Source organism: Homo sapiens, chromosome 2, assembly GCF_000001405.40.
Source record: "Homo sapiens chromosome 2, GRCh38.p14 Primary Assembly".
Taxonomy (NCBI): Eukaryota; Metazoa; Chordata; class Mammalia; order Primates; family Hominidae; genus Homo; species Homo sapiens.
In genome coordinates, this window is record NC_000002.12 from 201,703,006 (window position 1) to 201,719,171 (window position 16,166).

General features: G+C 38.0%; 1 protein-coding gene across 8 annotated transcripts in view; it reads right to left on the minus strand.

Annotated features, from left to right (window-relative positions):
* The window catches only part of ALS2 (alsin Rho guanine nucleotide exchange factor ALS2), an 80,667-nt gene that overhangs the window by 2,739 nt on the left and 61,762 nt on the right, over window positions 1-16,166 (minus strand). For 5 of the 8 annotated variants that reach the window (NM_020919.4, XM_006712654.4, XM_047445224.1 and 2 more), the window contains 10 exons: window positions 15,072-15,205; window positions 12,667-12,834; window positions 7,986-8,103; window positions 6,876-7,033; window positions 4,864-4,986; window positions 3,841-4,017; window positions 2,411-2,456; window positions 2,134-2,195; window positions 1,449-1,598; window positions 1,117-1,213 (listed from right to left, as the gene is read on the minus strand). In NM_020919.4, the coding sequence (NP_065970.2) occupies window positions 1,117-1,213; window positions 1,449-1,598; window positions 2,134-2,195; window positions 2,411-2,456; window positions 3,841-4,017; window positions 4,864-4,986; window positions 6,876-7,033; window positions 7,986-8,103; window positions 12,667-12,834; window positions 15,072-15,205 (1,233 nt within the window). Of the gene's footprint in view, window positions 1-1,116; window positions 1,214-1,448; window positions 1,599-2,133; window positions 2,196-2,410; window positions 2,457-3,840; window positions 4,018-4,863; window positions 4,987-6,875; window positions 7,034-7,985; window positions 8,104-10,479; window positions 12,174-12,666; window positions 12,835-15,071; window positions 15,206-16,166 lie in introns of those variants that run through there. The other 3 variants (NM_001410975.1, XM_047445238.1, XM_017004570.3) reach the window with 3 other exon arrangements.

Here is a 16,166-nt window from a genome sequence, read left to right on the forward strand (position 1 = left end):
CTTGGGAGGCTGAGGCAGCAGAATCACTTGAACCTGGGAAGTGGAGGTTGCAGTGAGTCGAGATTGCACCACTGCACTCCAGCCTGGGCGACAGAGTGAGACTCTGTCTCAAAAAAAAGAAGCATTAATGGTATTTTAGTTGAAAAGTTTAAATAGTTAACCTAGGCCAGAAACCTGACATTGAATTCTAATTATTTTTCTTATTTTAATTTACCTGTCTTTCCTTCTCTCTTCCTTTCTCTATATTTAAACCCCAAAGCATCTATATAATTTGCTATTCTACCCTCCCTCCAAAACTGCTAATAAGCTATCCAATACTTTGTTTTACCATTTGTTAAATAATTCCTCTTTTCCATTTTGGTTTGGTGTTTCCACTTTCATGTGAAGTTTTTATTATGATGTGTTTATATGGGAGCTATCCTTTCTATTTAGGTAATTGTGTATTCCTGTGACAGTCACATACTATTTTATCTTCATTATTGTAATTTTATAAATTTTACTAACTGGAAGAGTAGGTCTATTCTTTCTCATTTTTCACAAGTGTTTTTGCACTTTCTATCTGCTGTTTTTTCAATAAACTTTAGAGTGATTCTTCCAAATTCCAAGAAAAATCAAGGCAGGAAACAAATGACTTCTAACAATCTCTCCAGGCCACCCAGATCAAAGAAGCTCATTTGTAATCTATTGGTTACAGTAAATACAAGGCAAAGAAAGAAGATGGAATTCAAATTCATTATTTACATACTGCCTTCTGTGTTTTACCCTGTTCCATTGAATAGCACTCCTGTTGGAAACTTTCTTGGACACTAAGAATCCTTTCTGTTTCTTTTTTAGAATTACAATTATTTATATAAATGTAAACATTTATAACAGTTTGATCAATTTACAAGGAGGATTAGATAATGAAGAATTTGCTTTAGTATTTTGAGGAACAACTGGCTTATCCTACTTTAATATACTATATAATGTTTTAAAGTGTAGAACAAAATGTGCTCTAAAGGCATTTAAGGTTTGCATTAAACTTTTATACAAAAAAAGTGGTTAATGGCATTTATAATATGGTAAATGAAAGACAGATATGAAGATAAGAAAGTATTAAATAATAACTATACTCACCTTCAAGGTGGTGAACATTATACCCTGTTCCCCATGCTGAAGATAGGGGTCCATTAGATCCTCAATGAGGTGTACCTCAGAGCCTAAATTCCTAATCCTGCCCCAGAGAGAAAAAGATGCTGAGTTATTTTCACTTACATGTCCATTCTCCTTTTGAATCTAGTTGATGGGAAAAAGAAAGAACAGCTCAATAAAAGGGTAATGTCACAGTGGAATGGGTTAATCGATTTTTTTCTAGTGGAAGAGCGTACTCCTGCTGTCAGTTCAGAAAATGCAAGCAGCAGACTTTTAAAAATAACGACTCACTAATAACAAAGTCATAAAACAGTTACCTGGCCCGTAGCACCACATATAAGAAAACAGGAAACAAGTCATCCATGGACCACAAGAAGTCTTCGTGGAGTGACGCCAGGACACTCTGAGAGATCTCCTCAAAAGTCTGCTGGATGACCTTAAGTTTGTCTGATGGGGTAAATGTTGTGCTGTTACAGAAACAATGACAAAAAGACATCCTATAATTTTCTTAATAAAGCCATTTGATCGTGCTTTTTTGACAATATTCCCTCCTGGGATTCACATGCCTTAACCCGGACACTTAGGCATTATGAGTCGTTGGAAAGGATGACTTTGTACTCCCATGGTGCTATGAGAAAAGTAGCCTCCAACTGTCTACGATTCATATATTGTTTCCTTTTACCCACGTGAAATCTCATTCTCCTAATATATGCTCTTTTCTGAATGAGAAATTTGGTTAATTTCCAATTGGCTAAAGATGTGATTATATGGATAAATTTCTGGCTTGGCTCTCTCCTACTTTTGAAAATGCAAGGTCATTTTAGAGTAAAAGATAACCCAAGGGTCTCATTCTGATTTCTGATTTCCAGATTGAGTTTGACACCATCAGCATATAGAATGGGGATGCTTAAGGCTTAGGTAAAGATAAGATCATATTAATAATATCTTAATAGACCAAGCACTACTTTGATTTGTATGGCTTTTCAACAAATCAGAGATTACCTGATCTGCTGCAGACATTCTACTGCTGAGGCAAAACAAGCATCTTTCGTGGTTGGCAAAACCTGCAAAAAAGAGAGTGAAGGTCAAGGAGGAAAACTATTTTCTGCAACAACAGAAATAAATGATACTGATGTCAGAGTGCAGGTCTTTGGTAATAACAGATGCAAACACAAGCTTGGGTACTGTTCTATCAAAGTAAAATGAAAAAGTTTTGCTATCTCAAATCCTTCCCATTAGAGAAAAGCATATTTGCTGAGGAAAAGAAAATCTACTATACCTTTTTACTCTCTCCAAGGATTGACAAGGTTGCTGGCCAAAATTTCCTATAATGGAATCCATAAATTATTAATATAAGTTGTTACTTATGGTAAACAAAATCCCATAAAAATAGTTGACAGCTATATTGGCTTCCTTGTCCCCATTAAAAAGAACTGCTCCACAATAGGTTAAGTTTTTATAAACATTCCAGAAGTGATTTAAGAGTTTTTATCATCTCCCTAAGGGATTTGTCATTCTATATCCCAATAACCTACACGTTACAGATATTACCAAATATTTTTCCTTCACTCAGTTTTATCTCATTTCTACTACTGAATTATTCCACTGAAAACAATTAAAGCACAAAATAAAAAAAAAGCACAAAAATAAGAAAATATAAAAATTAGCTGGGTGCGTTGACACAGGCCTGTAATCCCAGCTAGCTGGGAGGCTGAGGCACGAGAATCACTTGAACCTGGGAGGTGGAGGTTGCAGCTAGCCAAGATGGTGCCACTGCACTCCAGCCAGGGCAACAAAGCAAGACTCCGTCTCAAAAAAAAAAAAAATTGAGGCTTATTCACTTTTCCTGGTAGCACAAATAGAGATTGGGGAGGTGGAATCAGCTTTATCACTGCCCTAGAAAGAAAACATAATAATTTAGTATTCCCTGGATAGCAAGCAATAATACCTTCTAATAAAAACAGCAGGGCTGGGCACAGTGGCTCACACCTGTAATCCCAGCACGTTGGGAGGCCGAGGCGAGCAGATCACTTGAGGCAAAGAGTTCGAGACCAGCCTGGCCAACATGGCAAAACTCCATCTATACTAAAAATACAAAAATTAGCTGAGCATGGTGCCGTGCGCCTGTAATCCCAGCTACTTGGGAGGGTGGGGCATGAGAATTGCTTGAACTTGGGAGGTGGAGGTTGCAGTGAGCTGAGATTGCACCATCGCACTCCTGCCTGCATGACAGAGTGAAACTCTCTTTCAAAAAAAGAAAAAAAAAAAAACACTTCAAAACCTTTAACTTAAAAATTGCAAATGGAGAGGGAGGAGAGAAAAGAAGAGAAGGAAGAATGCCAAAGATATGTATTCTGCTCTAAAGAGCTATAAAATACCAGGCAAAATAGCTCACACTTTATATATATATATATATATAACTATACATAATATATAAAATACATTACTAATATATAATAAATATATATTACTATATATATGAAAACATAATAAAAAACACATTCCAAAGAATCAGCAGGTTTCATACTCATCTCCAAATATTCTCAGAAATAAAGATTATTAACTATCACTATTTTGTTAAAGAAGACATATGCAAAAAATAATTACAAGCCATATATATAATTAGATATCAAAGTGCCAAATTTCCAATAATGCAGTTTGCATTTTAAATTAAAACCATTTGGTTGCGCTTGTAACTACTACACTTACCTCTGCACCCCAAGAAAGCCCAGGAGAGCAATATCTGGCTGCTTATTTAGTCGAAGGACACATTCCCAGTAAATGTCTTCCTCGCGATCATTATCCAAAGCATAAAGCATAAACAGCGGTGGGTAGAGCCGAGGTAGCAGCACAGGAAGCAATAATCCAGAACTCGTTACTACATAACTACAAAATAATGGAGTGGGAGAAAAGGAGCATTTTTCATATTAAAATTGAATACAGAATCCAAGGTAGAGCTTCAGTTTCAAAAAGTCAAAAGTAGAGATGGGAAGTTTTAAAGAAGTTATAATATTACTCTGCTCTTTACATATGGAGTTGATATGAGGACATTATCTATAATTTTGTCTTAGAGGAAACTGTGAATTCTTTTCATGAATTAAAAATCTCACTGAAAACCTACATTGTTTCCATTTTGAGGCTGATTTCTCTGAGGTTATTCTAGGACAGTGTGATGTTACTTCCTTTGCTAAGCAGCCTTTGTGCTCAGATCATCTGTGGTTGCTTTTTCCTGGGGTATGGCTAATAGTACTTGAGAGAACTAAGAGGGACCTCAGAGGGGGCACCTACCCAGCTACATTTTTTTTTTTTTTGAGACAGGTCTCACTTTGTCACCCAGGCTGGAGCGCAATGGTGCAGTCACAGCTCACTGCAGCCTTTAACCTCCCAGGCCCAAGTGATCCTCTCATCTCAGCCTCCCACGTAGCTGAACCCGTAGGTGTGTGCCACCATGCCCTGCTAATTTTTTTTATTTTTGTAGAGATGGGGTCTCCCTATCTTGCCCAGGCTGCTCTTGAACTCCTAAGATCAAGCAATCCTCCCACCTCAGCCTCCCAAAGTGTGGGATTACAGGTGTGAGCCACTGTGGCTGGCCCCAACCCTCCTGGCCCCAACCATATCATTTTAGAAATGAGGAAATAGATCTAGAGAACACACTTTCTCGCTGGGACTCTTTGAGTAAGATCATCTAGTCACCATTCCCTTTCTTCACTGTCCCCACCCAACTCCATTTACCCTGGCTCTGGTGATTCAGATCGGGAATCTGACTTCCCAGTGCAAAAAGACTTCCTTTCGGTTGGCAGAGGAGCAGAGAGAGGAATTGTGCTGCCTTCTTCAGGCAGCTCAGGAAATAAGAACCTAAGGAAGAATAAAAAATATAATTATACAATTATACCTCTAGGGGGGTTGAAAAGCATAAAAACACATTTCCATTAGTTATGAGAGCAAGCTTTATTATCAACTAAGTATTTTAGTTCCCTGAGAAAACTGATGTTTCTAACAGGATAAAATTAAGAATGCAGCTAATGAATAATACCACTACAAAATCTTCACGTGCTATGATTTTCTCCTGTCTAGTTACCAAGGAATGGAGAATTCTGATCTATATGAGATATGTGTTCCTTACTGGCAAATCTCATCTGAGGTCAATTTATATTAACTCTGAGCAAGGACCACTCTTCTACAATATAAGCAAACACCGACAGAAATTAAGTGTCCAACATTAAGGGAAAAAATGATTAATTATAGAAGACACAATGTAAAGTTTTATTTTATTTTTATAGATTCAGGAGGCACATATGTAGTTGTGTTGCACGGATATATCAGGTAGTGGTAAAGTCTGGGCTTCTGGTGTACCCATCACCTGAACAGTGAACACTGTATCCTATCAGTAAGTTTTCAACCCTCACCCTCCCACACACACTCCCCGCTTTTAGAGTCCTCAGTGTCTATTATTTCCCTCTGTACTCAACCTAAAATTTAAAAATGTGTTTTTAAAACTTGCTGAAAATTAATTTTTCAAATGATCAAGGGGATAAATTGGTGAGGAATTTTTTTTCCTGGGCTTTGAGTTCTGCCATAGATTTTATCTCTGACTTCTTGTATGCTAGTGTACTCTACCATAAATAAGTTTATTTTCTCTTATTTTTACGGACTTAAATTTTGACCCTTTAAAGGCAATATGCAGTCTTCTCTATTTTTGTAGACTTACATCTTGCACCTCCATCTGCCCTAATTGTATAGTTGAAAAAAACTAAAAAAGGTCAGGACACTTACTTTCATTATACTCATCTAGCTAATGTCAGAGCTAGCCCAGGCTAGTGATCTTTTTAATAGACCACACTTCTCCCTCAAAACCTGAAACATTTCCAATGTTGAGGCAAACAATATATGGAAGTTCTGGGACAAATTTACAAACTTTTGTATAATTATCTCACTATAGTATTTACTTGTTGGCTTCAACTCAGTAAAAGATCTTATATCTCACAAGCTTAAATCTGTTTGTTGCCTGGAACTCTCTTCCCAAAGATGCTTACTGTCTCATTTAATTGCCTTCTTCGAGTCTCTGCTCAAATACTACCACCGTATTAGTCAGTCTGCTCTGACCTTCTCTTCAAAATAATAGCATCTCACATCTAGTACTCTTTCCCTTTATTTTTCTCCATAGTGCTAATCACTATCTGACATACTACATATATTTTTTATGTTTACTCTTTTCCCCCATTAGAATGTAAGCTCCATGACAGCAAAGACTGTTTGTCTTTGTTCACTGATAAATCCCTTGAGAGCCTAGAATGATGGCTATTACATAGAAACGCTCCATAAATATTTGTTAAATAAATGAACATATGTGATACTGTTGCCAAAGGACAAGACACAAAAACTCAAGGGCAAAACTTCATATTAAACTTTGTCTACTCTGTGGTTGGGTTTTAGATACATGATTTTGCCTAGAGACTGAATCTAAATAAGACGACTACTATACTTCATACCAAAATTAGATTTAAAAACCCCAAACATTTATTTTAGCTTTACTTAATAAGACATAAAAATAAATAAATAACAATAGCTAAGGTTCATCTTTTTTATGTTTATAGCTTACACATACATTTAAAACATGTTTTACTTAATCTATTAAAGGACTGTGGCATAAAACTATTTTCTTGATGATTCAGGGTGAAACTACCCAAGCACTGGTATAAAATAGTATTCCATAGCCCGCAGACTTTAGTGAAAAGCTCTCTTACCTCACCAGCTGGAAAATTCGCTTAAGATAGGACTTAATCTCCTTTACAGCCTCCTGCAATAACCTGCGGTTGGCTCCTACGCCCACGTATGTCATTCTATACACTGCAACCAGTGTCTCCACAAGCCTGCCCAGGGGGTGCAGAGGAGTGTCACAGGCCTGAGTAGGAAAAGAATCAATGAAGTCAGTTGATGTGCATTAACAGCAGAAACAATCCATCAACAAGAAACAACTTCATAAATGACACACAATTGTCAAAATGTCAAGAGTCAATTTTGGGACCAGGAATATTCAAATACTTTAATTTTTTTGAAAGTACTGTCTACCCCAATTATATGAAGCTGGAGTTCCTAATCTTGATCAAAGAATCTCCTTAACATTTTGGGCAAATAGCTTTGGAAGTACTGATATGGAATACCACTAAAAGAAAGATTCTGCTGGATGTGGTGGCTCATGCCTATAGTCCCAGCTACTAGGGAGGCTGAGGCAGGAGGATCAATTGAGCTCAGGAGTTTGAGGCCAGCCTGAGCAACACAGTGAGAACCCCCATATCTAAAAAAAAAAAAGAATACAAAATTTTAAAAAGATTCAAATATACTTTAAACTTCACAAAAATGATAGAAAATGTTACCTTGGAGAAAACTAAACACTGACTGTTGATGATACTCTGAAACAGTCATCCTTCAGTTCCCCTGACTTCTCAGAATACTCCTTCCTGCACTTCCCATCAATATACATCACACTTTAAATTGTAGCTGGTCTTACAAGTTTTCGAAGGAAGCAAAGACCCTCTCCAGGGGTGAGGGCAGCATGCTTTACTTACACAATCTCTAGTTTGCTAATGTTATTAACAAAAAGCAATTTAAAACTCTAATCTTATTTCTTAAGAACCCCCTTGAGTGCCTTAAAAAACTTTAAAAAGTTCTATCATAATAATGGGACAATCTTTAGGTAGAAATGTAATCTTGGTAGTTTGATAATTAACAAAAGAAATGCACAGGATGCAAAAACAGGATTAGAATAACATTAAGCTGTGAGTCTATCTGAATGATATATTGTGGTAGGTGAATCATTAATTCACAAGACCAATGTAATTTTTACTCTAGTTTACCTTTATTAAATATTTCCTGATGTCATCATATTTCTCCACAGAGAAGGCACCAACATGCTGTGGAATGAATTCCAAACTCTCTAGTGTCTGAGTCTGTGAACGACTCAGTATTTCTGGACTATAAAAAGGGAAAGAAAAGTCTGTTGTATTTCACATCAAGAAAGCAAGATACGTGTAAATACTCACATGAAACACAATCACTAGCTCCAGTCAAAGTGGAGCATCCAACGTAGTACTAAACCCAACGAACTCAGAAATCATCACGATCCTGCTATTAGGTACTCAGTTTACATAACATTCATTCAAAAAATCAGGTAGTGTTACTTTGTACCATAAATTAATGAAGATTCTACAATAAAGATTCATTCTTCATTCTACAATGAAGATTCTACAATAAATTAATGAAGATTCTACTCCAATCTAAACCATGGTGTTGGAAATAATATGACATTAGCTTGAAGATAAATACAATATTAGCTTGAAGGTGATAGACCCGTTGGTGACAACAGAAAAATGGAATAAAAGGAATAAAAGAGGGAAGGGAGTTAAGGAAAAAGGGAAATAAGTCAAAGGGCAAAGGAAGAAATGAAAACAAGGTTAAGAAGCAAGGAGATAATGACACTCCAACAGGTGACAATGTAAGCACATAACGGGTAAACAGAAACTGGATGAAGATACTAAGAGAAAACACACGCTAGTAATCAACTGAAATTTTTGGTAATAGTGTTCTATCATTAGATGACAACCAATGAGAAACTGAAAACTGTGCATAATCATTATTATTAGAGATTTTAGATAAACATATAAGATCTTTGTGGTAGCAACATAATTTTATATAAAGAGTTCATTCATTTTCACTTCTCAGAAACACCTAACTAACAACAGTTAACCCAGGTTAACTGAAGGGCTAAAGTCTTAAGGTCGAACTGACAGGCTGTACTAAGCTGACCATCTGTATCACGCACAAGGGGCAGTCAATGGCTTTCATCAATTCTGGGAGTTTCCATTTCTTCTACTGATAGAGTAGAAGGTAACAATTATGAACTTCATGAATGAAATACTAAAATCAATTCCTATTTATCCCAAATATAGAAAAAAAAATTACTTCTTTCTACATTTAATTTCTTGAAACACATACACGAATTTCAAGCAAGCAAAAATTATACTATGGTTTACTTTAAGTATCAATTTTGGAGATACTCAATTAGATAAACTCTAAACTAATCTCTCCAGGCTAGAATAACAATTAGTATTTGTTAGACTTGACTGTGAAATGTTTAAAGTTCCTGAAGTATCTTTCAACCTCTGGAATTTAATTTCTATGTAACTATACTTTAGTATATTAAAATTATTTGAATACTGGTAATTTATTTAAAGAATTTGGTAACTTTTAGCAAACTAGAACATTTAATTATTCAGAACAAACATTTACATTCTGAATAAATGGATACTTGCTCAATTTTTCTTCAATTCCCTTTAGAAAGCAACTGACATGTGGAAATGAAGACCAGCATAAAGCTCATTTAAAAATTAACTGTATGTAGCTACACGCACAGATTAAAGTATGCTCCTTGATATTTTAACAACGAAGGCACAGCTCAAACAAACCATTATCTAGAATTAAACTCAAGAAAGTCACAGTTAATTAGGAAGTTTTGCTGCAGGGATTAGTAAATTCTTTAGGTCCAAATGCTAAGCAATGCTTGTGGGAGTTACTGGTCAAGTTAAAGAAGAAAGGCAGATGGAGAAAAGCAGGAGAAAAGAAAAAAAAAAAGAAAAGAAGGTGAAAAAGAAAATTTTAAAAAGGAGAAAAAGAGAGAAATGAACAAGTACATCTGTAACTTTTCTTTCAGTATTTTGAAAATGTTGGGCCACTTCCTTCTGGCTTCCAAGGTTTCTAATGAGAAATATGCAGTCATTTGAATTGCTGATTTCCCATTATTTCACTCTAACTGCTTTCAAGATCTTTGTCCATGAATTTTAATATGTGTCTATACATGGTTATCTGTGGTTTTTCCCAAGATGGAGTTTGTTCAGCTACTTGAATCTATGGGTTTCACGTCTTTTTACTAAACTTGATAAGTTTTCAACCATTATTTCTTCACAAAATGTTCCATCCCTCATTCTTTCTCCTTTTCTTTTCTTTTTTTTTTTTTTTTTTTTGAGATGGAGTTTTGCTATTTTTGCCCAGGCTGGAGTGCAATGGCGCTATCTCGGCTCACTGCAACCTCCACCTTCCGAGTTCCAGCGATTCTCCTGCCTCAGCCTCCTAAGTAGCTGGGATTCAGGCCCGGGCTAATTTTGTATTTTTAGTAGATATGGGGTTTCACTTTGTTGGCCAGGCTGGTCTCAAACTCCTGACCTCAGGTGATCTGCCTGCCTCAGCCTCCCAAAGTGCTGGGATTACAGGTGCATGCCACCATGCCCAGCCCATTCTTTCTCCTTTTCTTCTGGAATTCTAAGGAAACAAATTTAGACCCACAAGTCCATGAGGCTGTGTTCACTTTTTTATTTTTTCATGTTTTTTCTCTCAGTTGTTTAGATTTGATAATCCATACTGATCTATCTTCAGGTTCACTGACTCTTCCATTGCCATCTCTATTCTGCCACTGAGTTCATACAATAAGTGATTTCGGTTAGTGCAGTTTTCAACCCCAAAATTTTGATTTGGCTCTTCTTTATATCTTCTGTTTCTTTGCTGATACATTTGTTCTAATATTTATTTCAAGGGTGTTTGTGATTGCACATGTGAGTATTTTATAATAGTTGCTTTGAAGTTCTTGTCAGACAACTTCAACATCTATGTCATCTGTTGATATTTATTGATTCTCTTTCCTGAAATAAATTGAGATTTTCATGGTTCTTTCATTGCTGAGTAATTTTGGTTAATGTCTTGGATATTTTGAGCATTATAAAACTCTGGGTCTTGTTTATATCCTATGGAGAATGTTGACATTCATAAAACAGTAAACATAGCAGGCTTGAAACTGCTATCTTTAGAAGCACCTGAGCTAGGTGTGGTAGCTCACGCCTGCAATCCCAGCACTTTGTGAGACCGAGGCAGGAGGATTTCTTGAGGACAGGAGTTCGAGACCAGCCTGGATAATATAGCAAGACCCTGTCTCTATTTATAAAAATGAAATAAAATAAAAAAGAACCTGCTTATAAGGTTGACCCTTGGCTGGCACTTGGGAATTAAGCTTCGTAAAAGTTCCATATACTGACAAAGGTGTTTTGCTTTCCTTAGATTAACAATGTGATTTATGGTGAACATCTGCTTTCCTGTAAGCTGGGACTGTGGAATTTGGCAACTGCCAAGCACAGGGTGCCTATGTGACCCGCCCCCAGTATAAACCCTGGGCACTGAGTCTCTAGTGGGCTTCCCTGGGCAGAAACATGAGACACGTGTCGCTGCATTTTGCTGCAGGGAAAACTGTGTTGTGTGTGACTCATCCCAGAAAGGAGAGATCATGGAAAGCTTACACATGGATTCCTCCAGACTCTACCTGTGTCTTTTTCCCTTATGATCTGGTTGTGCGTCCCTACCATGTTGCTGTAATCTTACTTGTGAGTACAACTATATGCTGAGTCTTGTGAATTCTTCCAGCAAATCACTGAATGTGTAAGTGATATTGAGAATCCCTAAAACAGCAGATATTTTTGCTTTAGTCTCCTGTGGGCCATGGTGCCAATGCCAGTTCACTTCTCAAAGCCTTTGCATCCTTCCTGGGTTTGTTCTGTGAGTGTACAACTTAATGACTACTCTGGGACCTGAGTGGTCAACCTATGAGCTTGGTTCTCAAACTCTTTGGTACTAATTAGGATCAAATTCATACATGTGCAGGTCTAGGGTGAGCCCAGGAGTTCACAAACAACTTTATGGGCTTGTTTCCCAGAGCTCTTCTCTCCATCACATCCCCAGTATTTTCTGGTTCGCAGGCACCCCTTTTTAGGTCCTCTGGCCAAAAACTGCCCACTTCCGTGATTGTGCCACATCTAGGGACAGATGGTGGGAGAACAGAGAACAAAGCCAAAAATGCAATGGGGTTGGGGCTTGGCCTTCCCTTGAGCTAAGGAGCCACCAAAGGGGGAAGAAGATTCCACTCTCTCAAGAGTTTTGACTTTTGCAAGTTTCCTGTTCACGCCTGCTCCAGCTGCTACCATTACTGCCACAGAAGGTCCTGGAGGCTTGGGCATGAGAGAATAGAGAAAAAAGACAGAAAGAAAACTGAGTATATATCAACCACTCTGAGTTTTAGGAGTCCCTTTGTCACTCCTTGAGCCAGAACCAGAGGGATTTTTTCTGTATCCCTGTCTGTCTGCACCACAGTACTTGCTTTCACGTTTCAGGCTGCACTGAGTTCTGGCTGAGGGATATTGGAGCAAAACATCTAAGTAAACTCACCACTGGTTTTGTGGTACTTTGAATTCAGGTTTTCTTCCTCAATCTACTTGTTGATATTTACTTTTCAGAGTTCATAAATAACTGTCCATGTATTCTGTTCAGGTTTAACAGTTGAGTTCAACAGAAGATAAAGAAAGTGTGTTTTAATCTCTCTTACTCAGAAGCGAAGTAAATCATTAACTTTTAAATTAAATGTGGTGAGCCTTGACTACTTACTGGTCTTAAGTTTCATCTTCCTAACATGCTCTGCTGTATGTTGAGCAGGTGTTCACTCACCTGTCTCTGTGCTGGCGCCGACTGGTGGTCAAGGCCACAGCAATATTGTCCCATGCTTTCCAAACTTCCCCTTGGCCTGGGCCCTCACAGCCCAGTTGGCGCCAACATTCGTCAAACACCGCTTTCCACTTCTCATCAGCTGGCACTGCCAGGTTTCCTAGCTTCCTGCTAATAAAGTCATATCAACCTTTTATTAATCATTTCTTTTGTGCAAAATTGTTCCAAAGAACAGAAACTTTCTAACATACAACTGAGAATGCTTTTTTCGTGACCAAAACTGCCAAGACTGATGGTAATTCTATTTTTAAAACACTAAATGAAAATTTTAAAGGAATGTTTTTTAGCTAATTATTGTTTTTTGGATATTAAAGTGTATGGAATACTAAGTACAAAGCAAACCAATTGACTCTGCCTCCTATAATTCCACAGAATTAATTTTAAAAAATTGATTCCTGGCCAGGTGTGGTGGCTCATGTCTGTAATCCTAGCACTCTGGGAGGCCAAGGCAGGTGGAACACCTGAGGTCAGGAGTTCCAGACCAGCCTGGCCAACATGGTGAAACTCTGTCTCTACTAAAAACACAAAAAATTGGCTGGGCATGGTGGCTCACGCCTGTAATCCTAGCACTTTGGGAGGCCAAAGAGGGTGGATCGCCTGAGGTCAGGAGTTCAAGACCAGCCAGGCCAACATGGCAAAACCCCATCTCTACTAAAAATACAAAAATTAGCTGGGCATGGTGGCACATGCCTGTAATCCCAGCTACTTGGGAGGCTGGGGCAGGAGAATCGCTTGAACCCAGAAGGCAGAGGTTGCAGTGAGCTGAGATCACACCACTGCACTCCAGCCTAGCGACAGAGTGACGCTCCATCTCAAAAAAAAAAAAAAAAAAAAAAATTAGCCAGGCGTGGTGGCCCGTACCTGTAATCCCAGCTACTCAGGAGGCTGAGGCAGGAGAATCGCTTGAACCTGGGAGGTGCAGGTTGCAGTGAGCTGAGATCACGCCACTGCAGTCCAGCCTGGGTGACAAAGTGAGACTCCATCTCAAAAAAAAAAAAAAATTTAAAAATTAAAAAAAAATAAAAATAAAAATTGATTCCTGTTAGAACAAGGACTTTCTGAACCTTGCACATCTTATAATGAGAATTTAAAATGCATTACATACTGGGTTCTAAAAGACTCTAAGAATAAACATGGTACAGAAAACATATCCTTGGGAACAAAAACCTGAGGTGCTACCAAATATAATAATAAAATTAAAGCTGCAATCAATAAAGAAAAACAGACATATGCCAAAAACTGTCCACTTCTGTGATTGTGCCACATCTAGGGAGAGATGGTGGGAGAACAGAAAATAAAGCCAAAAATGCAATGGGTATAATATACTTAGATTTTGCCTTTTTTTCCTCATATATGCAGATTTTACTATTCCACTTGGGGTGTGTGTGTGTGTGTATGTTCTTTACTTTTCAAAATCAAGTTGTGTACAGATTCCATTTAAGAATGCTCTTTCAGGCTGGGCGCGGTGGCTCACACCTGTAATCCCAGCACTTTGAGAGGCCAAAGTGGGTGGATCACTTGAGGTCAGGAGTTCGAGACCAGCCTGGCCAACATGGTGAAACCCTGTCTCTACTAAAAATACAAAAAATTAGCCTGGCATGGTTGTGTGCACCTACAGTCTCAGCTACTTGGAAGCCTGAGGCAGGAGAATCGCTTGAACCCGGGAGACAGACACTGCAGTGAGCCAAGATCACGCCACCACACTCCAGCCTGGACGACAGACCAAGACTCCATCTCCCCTCCCACCTCCAAAAAAAAAAAAAAAGAACACTCTCTCACACATGGAACTTTCCTTTTAAACATCCATGCTTTAAGGCTTATAATCTAAACCAAGACTACAGACAAGACTACAGATTTAGTCATCTAAAGCAGTGTCAGTTGACAATTCAAGGAGGTTACATCTTGTTTAAGAAAAAAAAAAAAAAAAGACTTTGGCCAGGTGCAGCGGCTCATACCTGTAATCCCAGCACTTTGGGAGGCTGAGGCAGGAGGATCGCTTAAGCTCAGGTTCAAGACCAGCCTGAGCAATAGCAAGACCCAGTCTCTACAAAAATTAGAAAAATTAGCCGGGCATGGTAGCGGGTGCCTGTAGTCCCAGCTACTAGGGAAGCTGATGCGGGAGGATCACGTGAACCCAGGAGGTCAAGGCTGCAGTGAGCCATGATCATGCCACTGCACTCCAGCCTGGTGACAGAGTGACACCCTGTCTCAAAAAATAAAAATAAAATAAAATAAAAAAGAAGACTTTAAGAACTTGACTTTGCTTTTAAAATATTAACCAGCTTTGATAAAAGCAAGACAACTCCAAACATTCAATAATTAATCCAGAATTAACACTAGTTACTCACAAAACTTTAGGTCTGTCTTTATCACTCTCATATAGACTAGGTTTGAAGTAGGTTCCAGTGATTTTTATCCCAGATCCCCATTCTCCACTAAAATAACCTTCAATGTAGTCTCCATTTGGCATAGTCAGTGTTCCCTAGGTAAAGTCAGAGAATAAAATGTGGGGTTAGAGGAAATATATTCAATATTCATTTATTTATTTAGAGACAGAGTCTCACTCTGTTGCCCAGGCTGGAGTGCAGTGATGCGATCTTGGCTCACTGCAACCTCCGCTTCCTGGGTTAAAGTGATCCTCCTGCCTCAGCCTCCCAAGTAGCTGGGATCACAGGCGCCCGCCACCACGCCCAGCTAATTTTTTGTGTTTTCAGTAGAGACGGGGTTTCACCATGTTGGCCAGGCTGGTCTTGAACTCCTGACCTCAAGTGATCCACCCACCTTGGCCTCCCAAAGTGCTGGGATTACAGGCATGAGCTACCACGCCCAGCCCTCAATTTTTAAAATCAAGAGAAAAAAAGCACTAAATGGTTGTTTTCCTTTTTAACTTGCTCTTTACCAGTCTCCAACTCTTTAAAACTCAAACAAAATATGGGCACATGCATGTCTAAAAGAGTATATGAAAATAATCCATGGGTAAAAGAAAAAAACACACACACAGGGAAAAGTCAAAAATATTTTGAACTGTATAAAATGACCATACAATATATCAAAATTTAGGGGATGATGTAAATTACAAGCAGTGCTTAGAGGGAAACTTTTAGCTGTTAACACCTATCTTTTCAGGAAGTTCTCGAATCAGTAATGTAAAATTCCACCTAATAAAATTACAAAAGGAGGAACAAACTAACAAACTAAACCCAAAGCAGGAAAGAGGAGGGAAATGATAAAGATTAGTGCAAAAATCAGTAAATGAGATAGAAAACAAAAAATAAAGAAAAATCAATGAAACTAGAAGTTGCTTCTTTGAAAAGATATATAAAATTGACATTTAACTAGATTAATCAAGAAAAAAAAGAGAAAACATAAGTTTCTAAAATCAAGAGTGAAACAGGTTATTACTACCAGCCTATAGAATTAAAAAAGTTAGAAGGTGCTATTGT